Source organism: Homo sapiens, chromosome 5 (assembly GCF_000001405.40).
Source record: "Homo sapiens chromosome 5, GRCh38.p14 Primary Assembly".
NCBI lineage: Eukaryota > Metazoa > Chordata > Mammalia > Primates > Hominidae > Homo > Homo sapiens.
In genome coordinates, this window is record NC_000005.10 from 77,089,001 (window position 1) to 77,116,057 (window position 27,057).

The 27,057-nt window shown below is 39.9% G+C and overlaps 1 protein-coding gene and 1 long non-coding RNA gene across 12 annotated transcripts in view; both read left to right on the forward strand.

The window, feature by feature from the left end:
* PDE8B (phosphodiesterase 8B) overlaps positions 1-27,057 on the forward strand; it is a 341,542-nt gene that overhangs the window by 2,286 nt on the left and 312,199 nt on the right. The window lies entirely within an intron of this gene.
* Positions 1-27,057, forward strand: part of ZBED3-AS1 (ZBED3 antisense RNA 1) — a 62,587-nt gene that overhangs the window by 2,286 nt on the left and 33,244 nt on the right. For 3 of the 10 annotated variants that reach the window (NR_182766.1, NR_182765.1, NR_182769.1), the window contains one exon: positions 9,655-9,747. The exons of 4 other annotated variants lie outside the window; for them this stretch is intronic. This is a non-coding gene — a long non-coding RNA (ZBED3 antisense RNA 1). Of the gene's footprint in view, positions 1-345; positions 404-3,491; positions 3,534-9,654; positions 9,748-11,235; positions 11,392-15,524; positions 15,681-27,057 lie in introns of those variants that run through there. 3 more of the 10 variants (NR_182767.1, NR_182771.1, NR_182770.1) reach the window with 3 other exon arrangements.

Sequence of the window (27,057 nt, forward strand, 5' to 3'; positions counted from 1 at the left end):
CATTCCAATAATGGTTTTGGAGGAAGAAACTGGTTGGGTATCTTCAAAGGCAGAGGTCCCCAACCCCGGGCCATGAACCAGTACCCTTTGTACCCTGTTAGGAACCTGGTGGCACAGCAGGAGTTGAGTAAGGGGCAAGCAAATGAGGGAAGCTTCATCTGTATTTACATCCGCTCCCCATGACTAGCATTGCCGCCTGAGCTCCACCTCCTGTCACATCAGCTGGGGCATTAGATTCTCATAGGAGCACAATTGTGAACTGTGCACATTCAAGGGATCTAGGTTGTGTGCCCCTTGTGAGAATCTAATGCCTGATGATCTGTCACTATCTCCTGTCACCCCCAGACGGGCCTGTCTAATTGCAGGAAAACAAACTCAGGGCTCCCACTGATTCTACATTACGGTGAGTTGTATAACTATTTCATTATATATTACAATGTAATAATAATAGAAATAAAGTGCACAATAAATATGATGCGCTTGAATCATCCCAAACCTATTCCCCACCCCTGTCCATGGAAAAATTGTCTTCCACGAAACCAGTCCCTGGTGCCAAAAAGGTTGGGGATTGCTGTTCAAAGGGATAATTTTGCAATGTGAAGGCCAACTATTAGGTTACTACTTTTCTTCTGGCCCAAAGGACACTTACAGCTACGGACATCTGATAAAAAGAAAAGTAATGAGTACACTGTTGGTGGGAATGTATAGCCATACACCCATTATGGAAAACAGTATGGCGGCTTCTCAGAAAACTAAAGATAGAACTATCATATGATCCATCAATTCCACCACTGGTTATTTATCCAAAGGAAAGGAAATCAGTGTATCAAAGGGATTCTTGTACTCCCGTTTATAGCCACACTATTCACAATAGCCAAGATACAAAATCAACCAAAGTCTATCAACAGATCAGTAAAGAAAATATGATATATATACACAATGGAACACTATTCAGCCATAAAAAAGAATGAAATCCTGTCATTTGCAGCAACATGCAGGGAACTAGAGGCCATCTTGTTAAGTGAAATAAATCAGACACAGAAAGGCAAAAATCACATGTTCACACTCATATGTGGGAGCTAAAGAAGTTGATCTCATGGAGGTAGAGAGCAGAAGGGTGTAGAGGTGGGGGAGTGAAGACAGGTTGGTGAATGGGTACAAGCAAACAGATAAGATGGAATAAGTTCTAGTTTTTGATAACACGGAAGGGTGACTGTATTTCCAAAGAGAAGATTTTTTTCTTTTTTTCTTTTTTTTGAGACGGAGTCTTGCTCTGTCGCCCAGGCTGGAGTGCAGTGGCACGATCTCGGCTCACTGCAAGCTCCGCCTCCCGGGAGCTTGTGTGGAGCTAGTGTTTTTATTCATGCCATTCTCCTGCCTCAGCCTTCTGAGTAGCTGGGACTAAGGGAACTACAGGCGCCCGCCACCACACCCATTAATTTTTTTGTATTTTTAGTAGAGACGGGGTTTCACTGTGTTAGCCAGTATGGTCTCGATCTCCTGACCTTGTGATACACCCGCCTCAACCTCCCAAAGTGCTGGGATTACAGGCGTGAGCCACCGCACCCAGCCGAAGAGAAGATTTTTTTTCTATGAGTTTGACTTTAATTTCTAAGATTCCACATATATATGAGATCATGCAGTATTTGTCTTTCTGTGTCTGGCTTATTTCACTTAGCATACTCTTCTCTAAGACATCCATGTTGTTGCAAATGGTAAGAGTTCCTTTTTCTTTAAGGCTGAATAATATCCGTGTGTGTGTGTGTGTGTATGTGTGAATACACACCACAGTTTCTTTTTTTATTCATCAGTTGATGGACACTTAGATTGTTACCATATCTTTTGGCTTCTGTAAATAATGCTGCAATTAACATGGGACTGCAGATACTTCTTGGAGATAGTATTTTTATTTCTTTTGGAAATATACCCAATAGTAGTATTAGTGGATCATATGGTAGTTCTATTTTTAATTTTTTGAGGAACCTCTCTATACTATTTTCAATAATGGCTGCACCAATTGACATTTCCACCAATAGGGTACAAGCATCCCCATTTCTCTAATCTTCACCAATACTTGCTGTCTTTTGACTTTTTGATAATAGTCATCCTAACAGGTGTGAGGTGATGTCATTTTGACTTGCAATTTCTCTGCTAATTAGTGATGTCGAGTAGAAGAGAAGATTTAAAATGTTCCCAATACAAAGAAATGATAAATGTTCAAGGTGATGGGTATCCTGATAACCCTGACGATCATTACACATTGTATGCATGCATCAAAATATCCCATGCACCCCATAAATACATACAAATATTTCGTATCAATAAAAAAATGAAAAAGAAAAGTAACTAGTATAAATGGCCAGGTGCAGTGGCTCACGCCTGTAATCCCAGCATTTTGGGAGGCCCAGGCGAGTGGATCACCTGAGGTCAGGAGTTCAAGACCAGCCTGACCAACATGGTGAAACCCCATCTCTACTAGAAAAATACAAAAATTAGCCGGGTGTGGTGGTGGGTCCCTATAAGCCCAGCTACCTGGGAGCCTGAGGCGGGAGAATTGCTTGAACCCGGAGGCGGAGGTTGCAGCGAGCCGAGATCGTGCAACTGCACTCCAGACTGGGCGACAGAGTGAGACTCTGTCTGAAAAATAATAATAAAATAAAATAAATAAATAAAAAAGAAAAGTAACTAGTATAAACAAATCAGGTTAAAGTCATCTCTAATTCATGTTTCAATATTTGAACAATTTTTTACAGTTTATTGTATCTGGTAATTCTTTTAAGAAGAAGCTTTATTGCTTTGAGTGTCTAAAAGAATCCATTTAACTTTAAACTGACCACGTAATGAGATACATGATATTTTCATTAGTTCATAGAGGAGTTTTTAGTAAGTGCTGGTTATGGGCAAAGCACCATCTTAAGCCTAAGCAGGAGTCTGGAGACTATTCCTGCCCTCAAGAGGATTACACTCCAGTATGACAGTAAGACATATGCAACTCTAAGAAGAAAGTGAAAAATTATATAAGAGGAAATATTCAAGTGCCATAATAAATTGAGAATGGCTACATATTTTTGAAAGTGGCAGCATTTAATCAAGGCTTGAAAAAGAGTAGGATTTGGATTCCTGGCATTATATGTTTATTATCTTAACAAGATGTATTTTTTATTTATTTTTAAAGTCAGATAAAAGGAGCTTAGCTTTTTTGTGAGTCAGTGCTTAAATTTTCTTAAATTTTGTGAGTCAATGCTTAAATTTAATAATTTTCTAAATTCTTAAATTTTCGTGTAATCAGAAATCTCTTTCTTGTGTTAAATTTAAAATCAAACTACAAAATATGTCTCAAATATCTAATAACTTTTCTTCTTTGCCCTACATCCTTTGTTCAAGTTTCAGCAAAAAAAAACAACCTTCAGTTCTTGCTTTCTTGGTAGTGGCAGTTCCCCTAACTTTCATCACGCGTGTAACCATAAATAAATAACATTTAATTTTCACAGGAGGATCTCATTTCTGTACCCTGCCCTGGAAGTTGGCAAAAAGTAAGGACCTGCATTTCATTGGAAATACAGAATATTTACTCTCCCTATTCTCTTCAGAAATTACAGCCTTGAAATCTGCTATCAGAAACCCACTTTGAGGCTGGGCCCAGTGCAGCGGCTCACACCTGTAATCCCAGCACTTTGGGAGGCCAAAGCAGGCGGATTACTTGAGCCCAGGAGTTCGAGACCAGCCTGGACGACATGGTGAAATCACCTCTTAAAAAAAAAATACAAAAATCACCCCAGCATGGTAGCACACATCTGTGGTCCCAGCTACTCAGGAGGCTGAGGTGGGAGCATTGTTTGAGCTCAGGAGATGAAGGCTGCAGTGAGACCTGATCACATACACCAATACACTCCAGCCTGGGTGATGGAGTGAGATCCTGTCTCAAAACCAAACCCAGTTTGAGAAAAATATTTATCAAGATTGTCTCAAAGACATGCAATTATGGAGCTGTGTCCTTTGGACCACACTGTTCTGGTGCATCCCAGATGTGCTTTTGATCTGTAGGTTTCTTTCTTGGGCTGTTTTTATCTTGTTTTTGGTATAAGAGTAATGCTAGCCTCATAAAGTGAGTTGGCAAGTGCTTTTTTCTATTTTTGAAAGAGTTTGTGAAGAATTGCTATTAATTTTTCTTTAAATGTTTGGTAGATTCAACAATGAAGCCATCTGGACCCAGGCTTTGATTTATGCATAGGTGGTTGATTACTAATTCAATGTCTTCATTTATTATATGTCTGTTCAGATTGTCTGTTTCTTCTTGAGTCAGTTTTGGTAGTTTGTATTTTTTCCAGGAATTTGTTGGTTTCATCAACATGATCTAAGGTGTTGGTATATACTTTTTCATAGTATAGTATTTTTTATACTTTTTTTTATTTCTATAAGGTTGATGGTAATGTCCCCTCTTTCCTTTCTGGTTCTTGGATGTGCTTTTACTAAACTTTGTTTATTCTGCTCTTCTGCACAGCTGATCTGAGCACAGTGGTTTTGGCACCCAATGAGTAGAAACTTTGCTCAACTAAAATTTTTCAGTGAGAATCGTGTGAGCTGACCCAGTTGAGATGTCTTTGGTGTTGGGCATTGTTTGTGCTATTCATCGTTGTTCCTTTTCAGTTAGGGCTCAAACAAGATGAATCCCTGTGGTAATGCCAACTACCTTCAGCAAGGCACCTTGTAGGAAACAGATGCATAAACTTCATTATCAGATTTAGTGTCATGATGTCATCTGCTACAGCTATCTACTGCATCCCACAGTGTTTTCTCTGTAGGATCTAGAGGAGACCTTTCTCTGATCTCTCGGTGTCATGAAAAGCTCTGCATGCCCTGAACAAATGGGACCTTTTAATCCCACTGTGGATTATGTCTCCTGCTTTGGCCGCCGGGAGGGCTGAGTCCAATGTTGAATATCTACTCTATCAGTTTCCTAGAGCTGCCACAACAAAGTATCACAAACAGATTGGCTTAAAACAACAGGTGTTTATTCTTCCATAGTCCTGGAGGTTTGGTTAGAAGTCAAAATTAAGGTGTCAGCTGGGCTATGTTACCTTCGGAACCTGTAGGGAAGAATATGAGGGGACTTCAAAAAGGTTGTGGAAAAATGGAATTAAAAGATAAAAATGAGAAATATACATTTTATTTCTCAACATAAACTCCATTAAGTTCAAGACACTTTTCTAAGTGATGACACCAGCCATCTAGTCCATTCCCAGCATCCTGGGAATTTAGCCATGTCAATGCAGTCTTTCTTACATCATTAACTGAAGAAAAATGGGTACACTTTACATACTTTTTTTGAGAGGGAGTCTCACTCTGCCACTCAGGCTGGGGTGCAGTTGTGTAATCATGGCTCACTACAGCCTCGACCTCCTGGGTTCAAGCAATCCTCCCACTTCAGCCTCCCAAGTAGCAGAGACAGGCAGGCACCACCATGCCTGGTTAATTTTGTATTTTGTGTAGAGACAGAGTCTCACCATGTTGCCCAGGCTGGTCTTGAACTCCTGGGCTCAAGTGATCCTCTCATTTTGGCTTCTCAAAGTCTTGGGATTATAAGCATGAGCCACTATGCCTGCCATTTTTTTTAAATATTAGTGTCTTAGTCCATTTTGCATTGCTATCTGAAAGGAGGTTTATTTGACTCTCAGTTCTGCAGGCTGTACAAGTAGCATGGTGTCAGCATCTGCTTCTGGTGAGGACCTCAGGAAGCTTCCACTTATGATAAAAGGGGAAGGGGAGCAGACATCATAGCAAGAGGAGAGGAAAGAGAGAGTAGAGGGAGGCACCAGACTCTTTTTAACAACCAGATCTGGAGGGAAGTAAGAGTGAGAACTCATACCCCCCAGGTAGGGCTTTAATCTATTTTTGAGGGATCTGCCCCCATGACTCACATACCTCCCATTATGCCCCACCTGCAACATTGGGAATCAAACTTCAGCGTGAGACTTGGAGGGGACAGATATTCAAACTATATCAATTAGAAAAAAAAGAAGTCAGACAGAGCCACGTCAGCTCTGTAAGGTAGATGCCTAAAGATTTTCTATGAAACTCTCAAAAAATTGCCCTTGTTTGATGAGAGGAATGAGCAGGAGCATTATTGTGGTAGAGAAATACTCTCTCTGGTGAAGCTTTCCCAGATGTTTTTTTTTGCTAAAGCTTTGGTTAACTTTCTCAAGACACTCTCATAATAAGCAGATGTCATCGTTGTTTGGCCCCTCAGAAAGTCAACAGGTGAAATGCCTTGAGCATCCCCAAAAATTGTTGCCAGGAACTTTGGTCTTGACTGGTCTGCTTTTGCTTTGCCTGTGTAACTTTCTTCTCTTGTTAGCCATTGTTCCGATTGTGCTTTGTCCTCAGGATCATCCTGGTAAAGCCATGTTTCATCTCCTGTTCCAATTCTTCAAAGAAATGATCCCATTGTTTATTCTGCTCTTCTGCACAGCTGATCTGAGCACAGTGGTTTCGGCACCCATTGAGTAGAAACTTTGCTCAACTAAAATTTTTCAGTGAGAATCGTGTGAGCTGACCCAGTTGAGATGTCTTTGGTGTTGGGCATTGTTTGTGCTATTCATCATTGTTCCTTTTCAGTTAGGGCTCAAACAAGATGAATTTTTTGCTTGCAAATCGACATAGATGGCCTACCGTGATGGGCTTCATCTTCAACATTGTCTCATCCCTTCTTACACTTATCCATTTGTAAACATCTAATTTCTTTGGGGCATTGTCCCCATAAACTTTCTGTAAAGTATCGATGATTTTACCATTCTTCTCCCCAAGCTTCACCACAAATTTGAGGTTGATTCTTGCTTTAGCCGACTTCATATTGCTCTGATATGGACTCTTTTCAAACTGAAGTCTTATCCTTCTTCATGCCTCAAACTAGACCCTATTCAGACATGTTATACAAGTTAGTACCAGCTTATTGGTGTGGAAAAGCATTGAAATCCTTGCATAATTTTTTCATGATACACATTTTTTTTTGAGATGGAGTCTCACTGTGTTGCGCAGGCTGGAGTGTGGTGGTGTGATCTCTGCTCACTGCAGCCTCAGCCTCCAGGTTCCAGCAATTCTCCCACCTCAGACTCCCCAGTAGCTGGGACTACAGGCGCACGCTACCACACCCAGCGAATTTTTGTATTTTTATTAGAGACAGGGTTTTGCTTTGTTGGCAGGCTGGTCTTGAACTTCTGACCTCAAGTGATCTGCCTGCCTCAGCCTCCCAAAGTGTTGGGATTACAGGCATGAGCCACCGCGCTGAGCATGATACACATTATTGATGAACTTTTTTGAAGTACCCTTTGTACTTCCTTACCATTCCCTAGCTTCTGGTGGTGGTTGGCTGTCTTAGTCCATTTCATGCCTACTATAACAGAACACCTGAGACTGGGTAATTTATAATGAACGGGCATTTATTAGCTCATAGTTCTGGAGGCTGGTAAGTTCCCTATCAAGATGCCAGCAATGGGTGAGAGCATTCTGGTTTCATCATCACATGGCAGAAGGCAAGGGGTAGGAGGAGAAACTCCCTTCATCAAGCCCTTTATAATTACATTAATCTATTAATGAGGGTAGGGCTCTCATGACTGAAACATTTCCCACTGGGCTCTTCCTCTCAGCACATTGGGGATTATGTTTCAACATGAGTTTTGGAGGGGACAAAAACATTTAAACCATAGCGCCAGCAGTACCTCGTGTTCCTCGGTTTGCAGTTGCATCCCTCCAATCGCTGCCTCTGTCACCACATGGCATTGTTCCTGGGTGTCTATGTCCAAATTTCCCCCTTCTTATAAGGATACCGGTTATATTGGATTAGGACCCACCCTAATGGGTGTCTTAACATGATTACATCTGCAAACACCTTATTTCCAGGTAAGGTCACACTCACAAGTACCCAGAGTTAGGACTTCAACAGATCTTTTGCAGGGACACAGTTCAACTCAAAGCACCTACAAGTGTCACATGGTCAACTTCTCTGTGTGCTAATATTACCCTTCTTATTTCATCTTTTATTTTTCTCTATTTTCCTTTTGTCCCTATTACCTAGATTACTTAGTTTTTCCTTAATTATATACATCTTTGGCTGGATTTGAAAGGAAGAAGACAGAAAGGAAGGGAAGGAAGAAGAGAAGGAGGGAGGAAAAGAGAGAAGGCGAAGGAGGAAGAAAAGCCTGTCCCCTAAAATTAGACATGAAACCAGGGGAACAGAGTTGCTGGAATGGGGAGCCACGGTGGGAGAGACTGACTGGGAAAGTGTTTTTGCTGTGTGCTTCATCAGAACCTCAGAATTACTTTTTTTGAGGGGATGGATGCAGTGGCTAGCAGCTGCTTGAAGCTTAGCTGATCTAGGAAAAGTTGGAAGATAGTTTGATGAATTAAGAATTAGGAGAGTAAAGGTATTGTCCAGCTACTTTTATATGATTATTAGTAGACACAATATGGATTGAAGTTTTGTGGTAATAGGAAGCTTATACAGTGTTGAAGACTCATGTATCCTAGCTGTTGTGGACACAGACCCATAAATCATTGATTTACTGCATGCAATTTATTCTGGAGGACAGTATCTCATGTTTGCAGGGTATCATCCTCCAAATATCACTTTAGCTGAAACTTTAATAGGCTATTCCAATTGTCTATCAGACTAGCTGTTTGTGGAGATTTTATATATCTATATATATATATCTATATATATATATATATATATATATACATACATATGACCAGCTAAAGCTACTGTATAAACCAACATTTCCCTTTCCACCTGTTCCTCATCTTAACCCATCACAGGTAAGAGTCTTAATCCTAATACTACAGCACACCAAGGGTTACCATCAACCCACTTACCACTAGAAATGAGGTCCTTGTTACTATTTGGTGGGTGAATGATCCCGTACCGGAATTCTATCCTGAGGTTTGTAGGTTCAGACCTACAAGTAGCTACAGGTAGCTTCTATTTTCTAGGGCCACTCTCTACATGCTTTCTTAGTTTGGATTTCCCTAAATGCAATGGCTAAGACAAGGCCTAGGATGCAGATAATTTGAGGGCCGACTGCAGGAAGCAGGTCTAAGGGAGCAAGGAGAGTAATGGAAGAAACGTATGTCAAAATAAAGAGGCTTTGCTTTTCTAACTATAAATGATTGTGTGTCTTTCAAATAATGTCTTCATTTTATACTGATGATGATTGTAACAAAACCCATTCCCACATGGTGAATTGTTTTTAATGTTCACCTTTAGGCTTTTTCAGACCCACCTTCCTCTTTTTTTTTTTAAAAAAAAAAAAGAAAGTCTTGTTCTGTCACCCAGACTGGGATGCAGTGTCATAATCATGGCTCACTTCAGCCTCAAACTCCTGCGTGCCAGTGATTCTCCCACCTCAGCCTCCCAAGCAGCTGGGACTTCAGGCACATGCCACTATACCCACCTAATTTATCTATCTTTTGTTTTTTTGAAGGTAGAGACAGGGTCTCACTATGTTTCCCAGGCTGGTCTCAAACTCCTGGTGTCAAGTGATCCTTCCACCTCAGCCTCCCAAAATGCTGGGATTAAAGGTGTGAACCACTGTGCTGGGCCACTTCTACCCCATTGTTTAACTTAACATTGTCTTAATCTGTTTTGTGCTGCTATAACAGAACACCAGAGACTGGGTAATTAATAAAAAGAAGAAATTGATCTGGCCTACAGTTCTGGAGCCTTGGAAGTCCGAGATCAAGGAGCTGCATCTGGTGAGAGCCTTTTTGCATTATCCCATGGCAGAGGCAGAAGGGCAAGAAAGAATGAGAGAGGGAGAGGGAGAGGGGGAGAGAGAGACAGAAAGAGAGAGAGTGAGAAAGAGAGAGAGATACAGTGAGGGAGAGTGCACTAAATTTGCTTTTAGGGCAAACCCACTCCCACAATTAATCCATTCAAGAAGAGTCTGCAGTCACCTCTTAAAGGTCTCACCTGTCAACACTGTTGCACTGGGGAATTAAGTTTCTAACACATAAATTTTGGGGACACATTCAAACCATAGCCATCATCTTCTGCCATTTATTATTAGAAAAACATTAATGTATACTTTATGTTTATTTTGTTGGTTGGCTTTTGGCTTGGATACTTATGAAATTTTTAAAACTTATCTTTGAGACTGGAAATTTTTACTGTAATTATATATGTGAAGTCTCTTTTTGCTTGAAACATAGTGCGCTAAGCTTGGAGTTTATCCTGAGGTAGTTTTAGGCAAGAGAGTTACATGGTGAGAACTATGTTTTAAATATACCACCTCAGGCAAGTATGAGGGATGTGTTTGGAAAAAGTACAGACTAGAGCTGAGTAGACCAGTTGGACTGTTGGAATACTGTAGGCCAGAACTGAGATATTTTTAAGATTCAGCCTGTTCAATATGTAGCAGGAAGTAATAAACAAGAGAATAGATGGGAGATGGAGTTGGTAAGAAGTAACTCCAATGTGGTCTGCGGTTCCCATGTCTCACTGCTGTGTGTTACTGGCCTCAGTGTACTTGAGGAACCTGAGCTGCTGTGCAGAGGACAGCATTGCTGGGGCATGCGACTCTAGGGAGTAGTGCTCCCCAGGGTGACCTTTTCTTTTCTTTTTTTTTTTTTCTTTGTGAGACGGAGTCTTACTCTGTCACCCAGGCTGGAGTGCAGTGGTGCGATCTCAACTCACTGCAACCTCCGCCTCCCAGGTTCAAGCGATTCCTGTCTCAGCCTCCCGAGTAGCTGGGACTATAGGTGCACGTCACCACACCCAGCTAATTTTTGTATTTTTAGTAGAAACAGGGTTTCACCATATTGGTCAGGCTGGTCTTGAACTCCTGACCTCTGGTGATCCACCTGCCTCAGCCTCCCAAAGTGCGGGGATTACAGGCGTGAACCACAACGCCCGGCCCGGGGTGACCTTTTCTATGTCACTGGAATGAGAGGAAAATACTGGTTGCAGAAAGAAATGGCTCTTTTCCTATGGAAATCATCAGCAAGGCATTTGATACTGATTTCTATTTCTCAGAACTGTTAGGAAGAACTGGTACAGAGATTTATCCCAGAATTTCAACTCCTTTTCAGGATTCATTACTCTACCACCCTGTATTGTTTTGTTGTGGTTTATGTACATCTATTCACCATAAACTACTACTACTACTGCCTAAGAATGGAGGAGGCTGGCAGGGGATCCAGGCAGGACTCACTCACTGCCATCTCACGTTTTTCCTCTCCTAGGGTTCTAGGATGCCTCATAAAGGCCCGTAGTGTACTTTCTGTCTACTTCACTTAGCTCCGCATTTGCAATTTCTGTTAACATGCATACAGTTGAATGGATGGCCAGGATCAAAGCTATCTGCTGTGAGACACAATGAGAAATGCTTTTGTGTAAAGGTAGGAGTACTTTTATTTACTGCTACATCATACAGGGAAGGTGGGGAGGAAATAAAAAGAAAGAAAGGAAAGAAAAGGCAAACCAATATGACCAACAGTGGTACAGGCCTTCTTGTTCTTACCTCTCTATCAGGGTCCCTAAATGAGGCTTATACTTGGAAAAGCAAAAGACAGATCCGGTGGGAGGGGATATGGAAAAGACCTGGGAGGCAACCCTTGTACAGAGAGCCTTGTCTCCAGGGAGCACTGCTCCACTGGTGCACTTGTTCAAAGAGCTGGCAGGCTGGGGGCCGGGCTCCCTCCTGCTTGTTTAAAGGGTGGTATGACTGGTTAGAGTGGACATCTGGAGGCTTATCCCACCGTGATTTCAGGGGTCTCACTCTCCAAGTATAGTCAGGGTTGATGTGACCTGACCCTGGTGTTCAGACATCCACACAAGTTTCAGAAGTGTTTACAAACTTTTTGCCAAAGGAAAAATAAACTTGCACAGGAGAGCTGGTTTAGCTGTTTTCTGAGACAATTATAAAAAACAGTAGTAAGCCCCAACTCCCAATCATCTAAAAATTTTTTTTCCTTTTTTTTTTTTTTTTTTTTTTGAGATAAGGTCTCACTCTGTTGCTCAGGCTGGAGTGCCATGGCATAATCATAGCCCATTGCAGCCTCATCCTCCTGGGCTCAAGTGATCTTCCTGCCTCAGCCTCCCTAGCAGGTGGGACCACAGGCACGCATCACCACGCCTGCCTGTTTTTTTTTTTTTTTGGTAGAGGTGGGGTCATGCCATGTTGCCCAGGCTGGTCTTGAACTCCTGGGCTCAAGCTATCCTCCTGCCTCAGTCTCCCAAAGTGATGGGATTACAGGAGTGAGCCGCTGCACCAGGTCAATTTTTTTCTTTTGCATTTCTTTTGCAATAGGAGAAAAGCAAACCATTATCTGAGTATGTGTGGCTTGGAGGCACAAGCAGATCTAGGGTATATCGCTCTGTCCTCAGAGAAACTATCAGCATGCTGTTGCTTTTGGTGTTGGCTGGCACTACTCAGGATGATCCAGCTTGCCTGCTTGGATTTATGATTCAGTTCATCCAAAATCCTCCTCTCTGCCCAACCAAACCTCCTACTCATTCACTGAGTCATCACCCTTATGAAAACTACTTAGATTGCACTATGTTAGAAGGATCTCTCCCTCACCTAAGTTTCTCTTGTCCTCCAAGCTAGTATCGTGCATCTGACACGTTGTTTCTTAGAAGCTAGCCTGCTTTCACAGCTCAACTAGAATGATCTCGGTGGCAGGAATGAGAGCTCATACATTTCGCCCATAAAGCCTAGCACAATGCTGGGCAAAGTATTCAGTGAATACTTGGAGTGATTGAAAACTTGCCACTAAAAACATATACTGTGTAGGTACTTACATGAGGTGCTTAGGGTAGTCAAATTTATAGAAATAAAAAGCAGAATGGTAGCTGCCAGAGGCTGCGGGGTGGGGGAGAGATGGGGAGTCATTGTTTAAGAGGTACAGACTTTCTGTTTGTGAAGATGAAAATGTTCTGGAGATGCATGGTGGTGATGGTTGCACAACAATATGAACGTACTTAATGCCACCAAATTGTCCACCTAAAAAGGTAAATTTTATTTTATGTGTATTTTGCCACAATAAAGTTTAAATTTTTAAAAAGCCTATACTGTAGAAATTTGAGGCTCTTCCCTAAGTCCACCCTCAGCTGCCCTCCCTGGTGCCCATGTGCAGAATCCATATCGTGTGCGAGTGAAATGTCCAGTTGGATGGCCGTGCTGGCCAGGCCCCAGATACTGGGCTCAGCTTCCCACTTGGCAGCTCCATTTTTGTTTTGAAAATGGGGTCATTTGCACCAGGCTTTTAGTTTAGATTTTTTTTTGTAGTTCCTGTCTGCACAAGAATTGTTAGGAAAGAGTCCAGATCTAGAGCAAGCAAGGTTATAGTTTCCCTAGGGTAATGGAGAAAAGCTTAGTGATGGTGAGATTTCTTGACATCTCACAGCCTCCAATTTAGTTTGGTTTTGTTTTTCATCTGTAAAATGAAGATTTCAATAGTCCCTACCTCCTTAGGTTGTTGTGGGGATTAAATGAAGTGAGTTGCATCAAATACCTTGCAGAGTACCTGAGGCAGGGCAGGAGCTAGGAAGCGTTGTTCATTATTTATCAATGGCAGCTGAGAATTCTTGGATTCTGTGACTCCAGCTTGGGTTCCAGAAGGACAGAAGCAGCCCACAGGGCTCCTGACACAGTGCCTTGTCTATGACGTGTGATCCTATGTGTAACAAAACCCTTGGGAGGCACCAGGTTGGTGGCTGGGGAAACAATCTGGTCTGGAGAGTCAGGGGTTTTTTGGTCAGACTTTCCCCACTCAGCCAGAAACCCAGCTGCCAGCCACGCCTAGGCTCCTGTGTTCCCTGCGGTGCTCTCTTTCTTTAGTTCACATTAGAAAAATCTTGAGAAAGGACTTGAAGAGACCCGCTTGGCTGGCTTTCTCACCTGCGTGGCCAAGATGCCAGCACTCACTTGACCACGTGGTCAGAGTAGGTCGGGCAGCTTTCCATGTGAAGAGGAGTGGTGGGCAAGGAAAAATGAAGCATCCACCCCTCACTGAACTGCATGCCCTGGCCAAGCCAGAGAAAAGGCAGCCATGGCCCCACCGCCATCTTGCTCTTCAGTGACGAATGCCCTATGCACCATGATATCTGTTTGCAAACAAAAGATGCCTTATGTTCCTTCTTTTGAAAGGGAGTCAAGCACATTGATCTTAAGGCTTTCCAAGTTAGCATCTAAAATTATTTGACCTTGGTTTAATAGGGAGAAATTGATCAGGTTGTGGAAATGAAAAATGAAAACGCTTAATGGAAAATACTTGAAATAAATTCAAGGCCATATTAACATTTAATTTACACTTCCTCCCAGAAGCTATTTTTACTTTCCTATTTACTAGTATGATATGCAGTAGTTATTTTTCTCCGTGACTCAACACGATGGGATATTTTTTTCCTTTCTGCAAATACCTCTCAATTCGGATATGACACAGAGTTCCCATTTTCCCCATAAATTACATATTTATAGCACACGGGAATAGCAGGAATGCTGTATGTCTCTTAAAAGTACTTCTGTATTTGAATTATAGAGAAAATGACTTGATGGGAGTCTGAACTTTGGGCACTCTTGATGTAGCTGGAGCAGAGAGGGGAACAGAACTCTGTGTTCCAGGCCCAGGCACTGTCTGTTCTGAACATGAGCCTGCCACTGCCAACTGTGTGCATGTGGGGAAGGGTGATGAGGGAAGGATGGGCATGAGCAACCAGGATCAAAGGTCATGTGGTGGTGAGAACATAGCTTGGACATCCTGCATCTTGGATTCTGTTCTGCTGTGTACTAGCTCTGAAAGCTTGAGACAGCTTCTTAGCCTTTCTGGTCCTTTTGCTTTTTCCTCTGTAAGCTGGCATAACAGAAGGAGTTACACTTAGAGTTATGATAAAGATTTGAATAAGGTAATGCATGGAAAGCTTCCACACTAGTGTTTTCATTGAGAGAGTCATCAATAAAAAAAATAAATGCTTGTCATTCTAGAGAGTTCTAAAGCAAGACAAGTGTCTTCTGTTCCTTGCACCCTTCTTCCCCTTCCCTTTGGAAGCCTGGTGGCTGAGGACAGCTAAGTTCTTTACTTGGGAGGAAGTACCCTTCCTTCCCCACAGAAAGCTAAGTGGGATCCAAGAGTCAAGGGAGCATAGAGCAGGCCCCTTTAGCCTACCTGTATCCCAGGCTTCCCGTAGAGGTTTATGTGGGGCCTATCGCTCTTCCACACAGTAAGGAACCACGTGAAGGCTTGGGAGCTGAAGTACATGTTTGCCGGGAGGGAGCTCAGTATAGTAGATGTTCCCTTTATAACCCTGCACCCAGTGTGACAATGGGCAGTGCTATGGTTTGAATGTTTGCGTCTATTCAAAATTCATACTGAAACTAAATCCTCAATGCAATAATAGTATTAAGAGGTGGGACTTTTAGGAGGTGATTAAGTCATAAGGCTCCTTCCTCGTGAATGGGATTAAGGCCTTTATAAAAGAGGCTTCTCGGGGTCTTCATCTTTTTTTCCCCTTCTGCCTTCTGCCATGTGAGGACTCAATGATCACCCGCTCCAGAGGATGCAGCAAAAAGGTGCCATCTTGGAAGCAGAGACCAGCTCTCACCAGACGCTGAATCTGCTGGCTCCCTGATCTTGGACTTCCCAGGGTCCAGAACTCTGAGAAATAAATTTCTATTGTTTATAATGTACTCAGTCTGTGGTATTTTGTTATAGCAGCAGGAATGGACTGAGAGAAAAGCAGCTAGTTGAGGATTTGAGAATTTGGGTGTTTTTTTGGTTTTTGGTTTTGGTTTGAGTGAATCTTTTTGCAAAACATTTTAGACATTTTATGTACAATAAAATGCTTCCATTTTAAATATGCATTTGAGTAGGCTTTAGAAATGTATACAACCATGTAAACACCTTAATCAAGACACAGAATGTTTTCATAACCCTCAAAAGTTCCCTTGTATCCAGTTGCAGTAAATCTCCCCTTCTCCCCACCCCCAGGTGACTCCTAATCTGCTTTCTATCAGTTTAGAAAAGTTTGCATTTTCTAGAATTTTGTATAGAGGGAATGAGTCAGACTTTCATGTATCATAATGCTTTTGAGATTCACCCATATTGTTGCATGTATCAGTGGATTCTTCCTTTTCCTTGCTAAGTTTCATTCTGTTATATAGATATACTGCAATTTATTGATCAATTCTCTGTTAATGGACATTTGGATTGTTTCTAGTTTTGGTGTATTTTGTATAAACCGACAGTTCCTGACTTATGATGGTTCAACTTTAACATAATGCGAAAACAATACACATTCAGTAGAATTCATACTTCAAGTACCCATACAACCATTCTGTTTTTCACTTTCAGTACATTGCTTAATAAATTATGTGAGATATTCAACACTTTATTATAAAATAGGCTTGTGTTAGATGATTTTGCCTCGCCATAAGCTAATTTAAATGTTCTGAGCACATTTAATGTAGGTTAAGGTAAGCTATGATGTCTGGTAGGTTAGGTATAGTAAATGCACTTTTGATTTATGATATTTTCAACTTACGATGGCTTTATTGGGACATAACTCCATTGTAAGTAAGCCAAGGAGCATCTGTATATTAAAAAGCTGCTATGAACATCTGTATACAAGTCTTTTTGTAAATGCATGTTCTGATTTCTTTCAGATAAATACCTGGAGTGGGATTGCTAGATCACATGGTAAATATGTATTTAAATTTATGAGAAACTGCCAAAGTATTTTCCAAAGTAATAGTAACATTTTACACTCCTACCAGGACTGTCTGAGAGTTCCAGGTGCTCCACATCCTTACTGACACTTAGTATTGCCTGTCTCTTTAATTTTGGTTGTTCTAGTGGGTGTGAAATGGTATCTTGGTTTAGTTTTAATGTGCATTTTCCTAATGCCTAATGGAATTTTCCTTCACCTAATGGCTAATGAGGTTGGGGTCTTTCCATGTGCTTATTAGTCATTCATATACCTCCTTTAGCAAAGGGTCTTTTCAATTATCTTGCTTATATTTAATTGGTCTGCCTTCACAGTTGAGTTGTATTAGTTCTTTATATATTCAACGTACAAGTCCTTTGTTAGATATATGTTTGCAAATATTTTTTTCCCATTCTGTGGTTTCTCTTTCATCTTCCTAATGGTGTTTTTCAATGAGCAAAAATTAATTTTATAAAAGCTTAGTTTACCAATTATGTTTTTAATAGTTTGTTGGTCTTATGCTCTATTCAATAAATATTTGCCTACACTAAAGTTGCCAAGATTTTCTCCTAGGTTTTCTTCTAGGAGTTTTATAGTTTTTACTTTTACATGTTGTCTATTATATAATTTGAGTTAATTGTTGAGTATGGTGTGAGGCAAGGGCCAATACTTATATCTTTTGCAATGAATGTCCTAGCACCATTTGCCGAAGCACCCCTTTTCCCCCATTGAAATGGCTTGGCACAAAAATCACTTGACCATACATGTTTGGGTCTATTTCTGGACTGTCTCTGCCACATTGATCGCATATCTATGTTTTTGCCATTATCAGATCTTGATTGCTATAGTTTTATAGAAAGTATTAAAATTGCTTTGGTTATCTAAATCATTTTAATTTCTATATAGAGTTTAGAATCAGCTTGTCAAGTTTTTTAAAAAAATCTGCTGGATTTTTGACAGGGATTATGTTCAATCTGTGAGCCAATTTGGGGAGAATCTCCATCTTAACAATACTGAATCTTCAGATCCATGAATATGATTTGTACCTCCATTTATTTAGGTCTTATTTAATTTTTAGCAATGTTTTATAGTTTTCAGTGTACAGATCTTACATAAACTTTGTTACATTTACCCCAAACTATGTCATATTTTTTGACGGCATTGTAAATGAAATTGTATTTTTTATTTTATTTTATTATTTATTTATTTATTTTAATTATTATACTTTAAGTTCTAGGGTACATGTGCACAACGTGCAGGTTTGTTACATATGTATACATGTGCCATGTTGGTGTGCTGCACCCATTAACTCGTCATTTACATTAGGTATATCTCCTAATGCTATCCCACCCCTCTCCCCCTACCCTACGACAGGCCCCAGTGTGTGATATTCCCCTTCCTGTGTCCAAGTGTTCTCATTGTTCAGTTCCTACCTATGAGTAAGAACATGCAGTGTTTGGTTTTCTGTCCTTGCGATAGTTTGCTGAGAATGATGGTTTCCAGCTTCATCCATGTCCCTACAAAGGACACGAACTCATCCTTTTTTATGGCTGCATAGTATTCCTTGGTGTGTATGTGCCACATTTTCTTAATCCAGTCTATCTTATTTTATTTTTCAAATGTCCATTGCTGGTATATAGTAATATAATTGAGTTTATACATTCACCTTGTATCGTATGACCTTGCTAAATTCAACTTTTTCATTCTAGTAGCTTTTTCTCCTCCATAGATTCCTTAGGATTTTCTAACATAAAAATGTTATGTGTGAAAAAGATAGTTTTATTATTTTTTTTGTCCAATATCTGTGTCTTTTCTTTATTTTTCATGCCTTTTTTGCAATGGTTAGAACTTCTAGTGCAATATCGAATAGAACTGATGAGAGAGGGTATCCTTGCCTGTTCACCATCTTAGGGAGAGGTATTCAGTCTTTCCCTATTAAGTATGATAGTTAGCTATAGGCTCTTTGTAGATGTCCTAAAACATAGTCTGCTTTTAATTATTATCATGGTCTGGCAATTCTAAACAAAGCCAATGATAAAATACTTATCACTCCTAAAATATCTTTTGCTGGTCTGAGTTCCAAATAATTGCTGAAATTACTTCTGAGTTTGATTAATATATATCTAACCTTCAAATTTACATATTTGTATCAATTATCCTTTAGTAGTTGTATTCTATATGGAAGTTAATTAAGAGAATTCCCAGTTATACAGGGAATTCGTATTCCCCTCCCCCTCCCACCACTACCCCACACACTGACCCAGCAGCATGCTTTCTTTGGAGAAGAATTTGTAACAGATCGCAGTCATTCCAGCTTCCTTCAGGGGTAGTTTGTGCCTCCAACTCCTGGGATGCATATATTCCTGCATTTACACTGCAGAGTCCAAAGAAACAGTTATAGCACTGGGATTGCAAAGATGAAGAAACAGAACCTCACTTGCTTCAATTCTATCATCTATATGATTCCTTGGAGTTTTTGGTTTTGTGTTTAGAATTTAAAACAGTGAAACTGTGAGGTATAATATTTTTATTTGGTAAGGGCAAATTTTTATTCTTATGTGAAATATTTTGAGTGATATTCTTAAAATTGACATTCATTTTAAATTCTATTCTTGTTATTTATTATTTAATTGTAACACTATTCATTTCTTTGACAGGCCATTATATAGGTCTAAGGTTTTTTCCCTTTAAAAATATATTAATGCAGGCCAGGCACATGGCTCATGCCCTTAATCCCAGCTCTTTGGAAGGCCGAAGCAGGCAGATCACTTAAGGCCAGGATTTGAGACAAGCCTGGGCAGCATGGCGAAACCCCGTCTCTATTAAAAATACAAAAATTAGCCGGGCATGGTGGCGCACGCCTCTAGTCCCAGCTATTTAGGAGGCCTAAGCATGAGAATCACTTAAACTCTGGAGGTGGAGGTTGCAGTGAGCCGAGATTGCGCCACTGCATTTCAGCCTGGGTGACAAAGCGAGACTCTGTCTCAAAATATACATATATATAAATGCAATGAAAAAAATATCAATAGTTATTTTTGCATATTTGTGCTATAATATGTTATTTTTATTTTTTACTTTTTGTAAAGTAAAAAATATTTATCTGCACCACATTCAACAAAAGATAATTTTTGTTGTCAGCATTGCTTTTTTGGTTATTGTTATGATTCATTTCAGTTCATGATTATTTGTGACAATAATTTTAGTATAGAGAAGACACATTTGCTCCAGGGGTTGGTATGTTGCTTCTGCCATTGGTAAGATGGAGTCTGTGCAGGTCCAGCCCCAGGCAATTGTCAGCCCATTGACCATCCTACAAGTCAGATAGAGTGGGGTTTGGTTGGTTGCCTCTGATTATTTGTCTTCTAGGGACTATTTTGAGTTTTGTTCTGAGGCAAAGGCACAGATAAAACAGACAGATTAATGATGCATAGCCATGAAATGATTTTGCAAAGTTCTATCAGAAAACCCTGCACTGAGAGTCAGGACTCTGCCCTGTCACCACATTATCTGCTTTCTCCCCCTTGGGGTTGAATGAGACAATCTTTATTTCTTCTGGTCCTGAAATTCAATGAGTCTGTTATCCCACTATGAAATATAAAGGGTTATTATTACTCTTGTTTTTGTTGTTTGTATTAATGAACAAAGAAGAGGCTCTGGAAACTTTGACCAGTGGGGCAGAAGGACAGCAAGACAGTTAAATATTTAAAAATGTTCTAAAGTAAAATTCGAGAGTCTTGTCCTCAGCTGTTTGAATTGGGCTTACTGTCACTGGCTGTGACCTTATACCTCATTCCCAAGGCTATGGGATCTTTACTAAGTTAAATTGCAGAGGGCAGACTGCAGTGGTGGCTAACCAATGCTATATCTGCCCTTCAGCTCAAGCCCATCTCTACCTGGGAATTTTCGGTGTGCTCAGACAGCAGAGACAGAGACCCATGCCCAATGTTGTCCTGTTGCTGGCAAAGCCAGGTACAACACCAGAGGTGAGAGCTCTGTGTTCATGGATCAACTGCATTAGAATCATGGAATGCTTCCAGAGCTAGTGAATCTAAAGGCAGGGCCCAGGAATCTGCCATAAACATGTTTATATGACGATTAGTATCATGCATTCTGAAGTCTGAGCACCATTCGTATAGAAGAATGGCCAAGAGAGTGAGGATTTTAAAATGATTCAAAGCTGATACAATAGAAATGAATCACTAAAACATATTTTACTGCCTTTGTATTTCAGTTTTTTTTTTTTTTTTTTTTTTTTTTTTGAGATGGAGTCTCACTCTGTCATCCAGGCTGGAGTGCAGTGGAGTGATCTTGACTCATTGCAACCTCTGCCTCCTGGGTTCAAGTGATCCTCCTGCCTCAGCCTCCCAAATAGCTGGGATTACAAGCATGCACCACCATGCCCCAGTAAGTTTTGTTTTTGTTTTTGTTTTAAGTAGATATGGGGTTTTACCATGTTGACCGGGCTGGTCTTGAACTCCTGACCTCAAGTAATCTGCCTCCCCAAATTGCTGGGATTACAGGTGTGAGCCACCGTGTCCGGCCTCACAATATCTTTAATTATTAAATGGCCAGCGCTTTTTTTTTCTCCAAACTTGTCATTCTGCAAAATCAGGAGATGTCACTTTAAGTTGCATCAAGTACTGTGAGATAGATATGACTGATATGACAAATTATAAGGTGACATTCATCACATGGAATCCATGGCCTGAATGAAAGGTTAGGAAAACTATGGGTTTCTAATGAGAAAGTCAAGTTTAATTAATTATCCTCTGAATAGATTTGCACTGGAGGTTTGGCACCTGAAGCTTAATAGCTAATTACAAGGGCTGCCAGTGAATAGTGGGTAATCTGCATCCCCAATTTCATGTTGGAGATGTCATAATTGCTGTATATCACAGGACAGCAAGGCAGAGCAAATAGATACAAGCTGCAGCTTTCTAAAGGAATTCCATGATGCTGCTCTGAGAGTTGGAGAAAAGGTCCCAGTTGTCAACCACAGACTGCGATGAAGTCAGCAGTTTCAAGTAATGCAGTGTGTACCCAATTGCCTTTGAATCATGGAACCAGAGAGACTACCGCATGGCCTCTAGCTGATCCCCTTCCACTAGGCCATTGATGCATCCAGTTATTTCAGACTATACCATTTTCCCCTATCCTTCCAAACCTATCTGCTATTCAGCCAGTTTCCTTTAGTAGTTAGATATCAGGCAGGGTTCCTGCAATTCACCATATCGAAAGAATTTGGCAAAATTCAACACCCCTTCATGATAAAATGTTATAATCAATCTTGAATAGAAGAGGACTCAACTTGAGAAAGGGCATCTACAAAATATTTACAGGTAACATTGTACTTAATGCTACGAAACAATGTTTTCCCCTAATGTCAAAAAATCACTTTGGTTGCAGAATGAAGAATGGCTTGTGGAGAGATGGGTAAAAGTCAATGATATAATTGCATCTAGGAAGTTATGGCAATAGTTCAGGTGAAGATGACAGCTTAGACTTGGATGGCAGCAATAGAAATGAGAGGTATTTGGGAAGATGGGGCTCATTCACAGATTGGGGATTATTCACAAATTGAGGGAGAGATCCAAACATAACTGCTAGGTATTAGCTTACTCGGCTGGATGGATGGTGCTGCCATTCATTGGGCAGAAAAATCAGGATGATTTTCTCTATACCATGGCCCCCAAAAGTCAATTAGAAAAGTCTGATATCTGTGGAAGATATCCATATTCAAAATGGAGGTGAGGTATTTTCAAGTACATGAAATTGTGTTTACATACACAGGGCTCCCTGACTGCAGAAAGCAATTGAGGGAAAAAGCAGGTCTTATGAAATAAATTACTGGGAAGACATGCCAATACTGAAATACTGGAGAAGAGGGGAGAATTGTATATTTCAAGGTGCTTTACAACAAGCTCTTTAACATATTATCTGATTTAAGTATGACCACATCCATGTGAGGTAGAATTTTTCTGATACCTGTTTTTAGATGATGATTGGAGTCCCAATTTATTAAGTGATTTGTCCAAAACTATTCAATGGTGAAAGGCTTTTAAGTGTAAATCTCCTGATTGCAGTGTCCCTAATCTTTTCAATGCTACAGTAAAAGTTAATTTCAGCTAAGAAGAGAGTCATTGGAAGGAATTCAGGTCTGCAGACTGGGTCCTCTCTAATAGGCTATTTCTCTTTTCTCCCACCCAGCTAAATCCTACTCATCCTTCGAGACTCTGTTCAGATTGTTCATCTCCTGTAAATCTTTTGCACCCATTCCTACTTACTGATTACTTCCATTTAAAAAAAAATTAAATTATATGTTGTTTAATGTAATATGTTAAAATAGTATAATTTCAACATGCTATCAATATAAAAATGATACTTCACATTTTTCTGTACCAAATATTTGAAACCCAGCACGTATTTTATATTTACAATGAATCATAATTGGAAGTAGGCTCATTTCCAGTGCTTAGTGGCTAGTGGCTACTGTACTGGACAGCACAGGTTTACAATCTAACCTTCAGTGTGATACTCACCTTAAAATGTACAAAAAGAGGTACATAATAGTTGATCCAAAATTAAATAATGCTGTGTTAAAATGGGAAGTGAAAGACAAAATATCGTAGCATTTGGACATTATCTGATTACCAAGAGACATTTTACTGTGATTGAAGAGTGGCTAAGCAAATCTTTTTGACATCATTTTTACAAACACATTGCAGACTGGTTTTCTCTTTCCATTATCTCGTTGAAAGTCTGTCTGGGCACCTAGTTATTTTGTTCTATTTCTCCACTTAACAGTTGTTGTTCATTCTGACCTATCTCAAAATAATAAGAGCTATTTGTGACAAACCTACAGCCAATATGATACTGAACGGGCAAAAACTGGAAGCATTCTCTTTGAAAACAAGACAAGGATGCCCTCTCTCACTACTTCTATTCAACATAGTCTTGGAAGTTCTGGCTAAGGCAATCAGGCAAGAGAAAGAAATAAAGTGTATTCAATTGGAAAAGAGGAAGTCAAATTGTCCCTGTTTGCAGATGACATGATTGTATATTTAGAAAGCCCCATCATCTCAGCCCAAAATCTCCTTAAGCTGATAAGCAACTTCAGCAAAGTCTCAGGATACAAAATCAATATGCAAAAATCACAAGCATTCCTATACACCAATAATAGACAAACAGAGAGCCAAATCATGACTGCCCTCCCATTCACGATTGCTTCAAAAGAATAAAATACCTAGGAATCCAACTTAAAAAGGATGTGACGGACTTCTTCAAGGAGAACTACAAACCACTGCTCAATGAAATAAAAGAGGACACAAACAAATGGAAGAATATTCAATGCTCATGGATAGGAAGAATCAATATCATGAAAATGGCCATACTGCCCAAGGTAATTTATAGATTCAATGCTAGCTATCCCCATCAAACCACCACTGACTTTCTTCACAGAATTGGAAAAAACTACTTTAAAGTTCATATGGAACCAAAAAAGAGCCTGCATTGCCAAGACAATCCTAAGCAAAAAGAACAAACCTGGAGGCATCATGCTACCTGACTATACTACAAGGCTACAGTAACCAAAAGAGCATGGTACTTGGACCAAAACAGATATATAGACCAATGGAACAGAACAGAGGCCTCAGAAATAACACCACACATCTACAACCATCTGACCTTTGACAAACCTGACAAAAACAAGCAATGGGGAAAGGATTCCCTGTTTAATAAATGGTGCTGGGAAAACTGGCTAGCCTTATGTAGAAAGGTGAAACTGGATCCCTTCCTTACACTGTATACAAAAGTTAACTCAAGATGGATTAACGACTTAATGTAAGACCTAAAACCATAAAAACCCTAGAAGAAAACCTAGGCAATACCATTTAGGACGTAGGCATGGGCAAAGACTTCATGACTACAACACCAAAAGCAATGGCAACAAAAGCCAAAATAGACAAATGGAATCTAATTAAACTAAAGAGCTTCTGCACAGCAAAAGAAACTATCATTAGAGTGAACAAGCAACCTACAGAATGGGAAACAATTTTTGCAATCTACCCATCTGCCAAAGGGCTAGTATCCAGAATCTACAAAGAACTTAAACAAATTTATAAGAGAAAAACAAAGAAACCCATCAAAAAATGGGCAAAGGATATGAACAGACACTTCTCAAAAGAAGACATTTATGCAGCCAACAGACACATGAAAAAACGCTCATCATCATGGTCATCAGATAAATGCAAATCAAAACCATAGTGAGATACCATCACACCAGTTAGAATGGCGGCCATTAAAAAGTCAGGAAACAACAGATGCTGGAGAGGATGTGGAGAAATAGGAATGCTTTTACACTGTTGGTGGGAGTGTAAATTAGTTCAACCATTGTGGAAGACAGTGTGGTGATTCCTTAAGGATCTAGAACTAGAAATACCATTTGACCCAGCAATTCCATTACTGGGTATATACCCAAAGGATTATAAATCATGCTACTATGAAGACACATGCACACATATGTTTATTGTGGCACTATTCACAATAGCAAAGACTTGGAACCAACCCTGATGTCCATCAATGATAGATTGGATTAAGAAAATGTGGCACATATACACCATGGAATACTATGCAGCCATAAAAAAGGATGAGTTCATGTCCTTTGCAGGGACATGGATGAAGCTGGAAACCATCATTCTCAGCAAACTATCACAAGGACAGAAAACCAAACACCGCATGTTCTCACTCATAGGTGGGAGTTGAACAATGAGAACACATGGACACAGGGCAGGGAACATCACACACCAGGGCCTGTTGAGGGGTTGGGGGGCTGGGGGAGGGATAGCATTAGGAGAAATACCTAATGTAAATTATGAGTTGATGGGTGCAGCATATCAACATGGCACATGTATACCTATGTAACAAACCTGCACGTTGTGCACATGTACGCTAGAACCGAAAGTATATTAAAAAAAAAGATTTAAACATTTTAAAATCTATAATAGACGAGAGGAAAGTTAAAAAAATAAAATCCAATTGAAATTAAATTCTAGAAGATTAATGTTGCCAGTTATATTTTGATGACAACAATAAACATAATGCAATTTTGTTAACTTATTGCTTTAAAATGCAAGTTGATAACCAACAATGGTACCATTTTAGCACAGGTAACTAACTACTTGTGTTTGAGTTTCCCAAGAGATAACCTGAATTGCAATAATGAAGAGGCACATAACTCATTAATGTTTTTTAGTCTCTTAAATAACATTAAAATTGTCTCAGAGTCTCTAGTATATTTAACAATTATATAAAGAAAAAAAAAGAGTTGTTCATCCTGCCATTCAGTAAATACCTGCTGACACCTTATTGGCCAAATGTGCCAGATGCAGGGATGTGAAATATACCCCATGTCTGCTTTCACAAAGCTTCCAAAGTAGTGATAAAGAGAAAGAGAGTGAAAGACATGGGAAAACATATCTTTGTGTTTTATTTGATGATTATCATTCTGTGTCTATTATTTGTTTGAATATTAGTTTACCCCCATTTCTTTAACTGGAGTGAGAGGAATGGACTATATCTTCTTATTCTTTTTATCTTCTTGGGACCTAGGAGAATGCCTTAATAAATACGTGTGGAATCCACTGCAATGGATGAATAAATGTGTGTTATTTTCTAGAACAGAGGTCCCTACAAAGCATACTAGGAATATAAAGAAACATTTCATCTTTCTGATGGAGAATAGAAAGGAATATAAGGCAGAGGGGACATATGGTCCAGGCCTTGAAGGACTTGACACAATTGAAGAAGCTGATAAGAAGGAAGTTTGAGGGAAAGAATGAATAGGAGTTTTCAGATGAGAAAGTCTGGGAGTAGAAGTACATCACTTATGGTGGGTACTTTCTGAACGTTTGCTTAATAAATACACAAATAGGTAAAAGAAAGAACCTGAAGGACCTGAGGATGATCTACTTTGTGGAATTAGAAATGGAGGGAGTGAAGGGGTGGTGGCACAGCAGAAGGAACATGGGAAAAAGTGACAGCCACGAGTCGGCCGTTGCCATTGTTAACATTTGAAAGCAAAACAAGACAACAGCAACGACCCTCTTGACGCTGGAGGTACAGTATTGTGTCCTGTTCTCTTAGCTTTGGGATAATGCCTATTGTATCCATCTGAGAACTTAATGATTCCATAATCTCTCATTAACGTGAACAATTTCATTCAAGAAGGTTTATGGGCAGAGTGAAAAATAAGAAACCTAGCAGAGTGACATGCTTTTATTTTACTGTAATGCATATAAAGGAAGACAAATATGCCAATAATACCCTTCTAATTCGATAGAACGGTCTCACAAGAACTTGTGCTA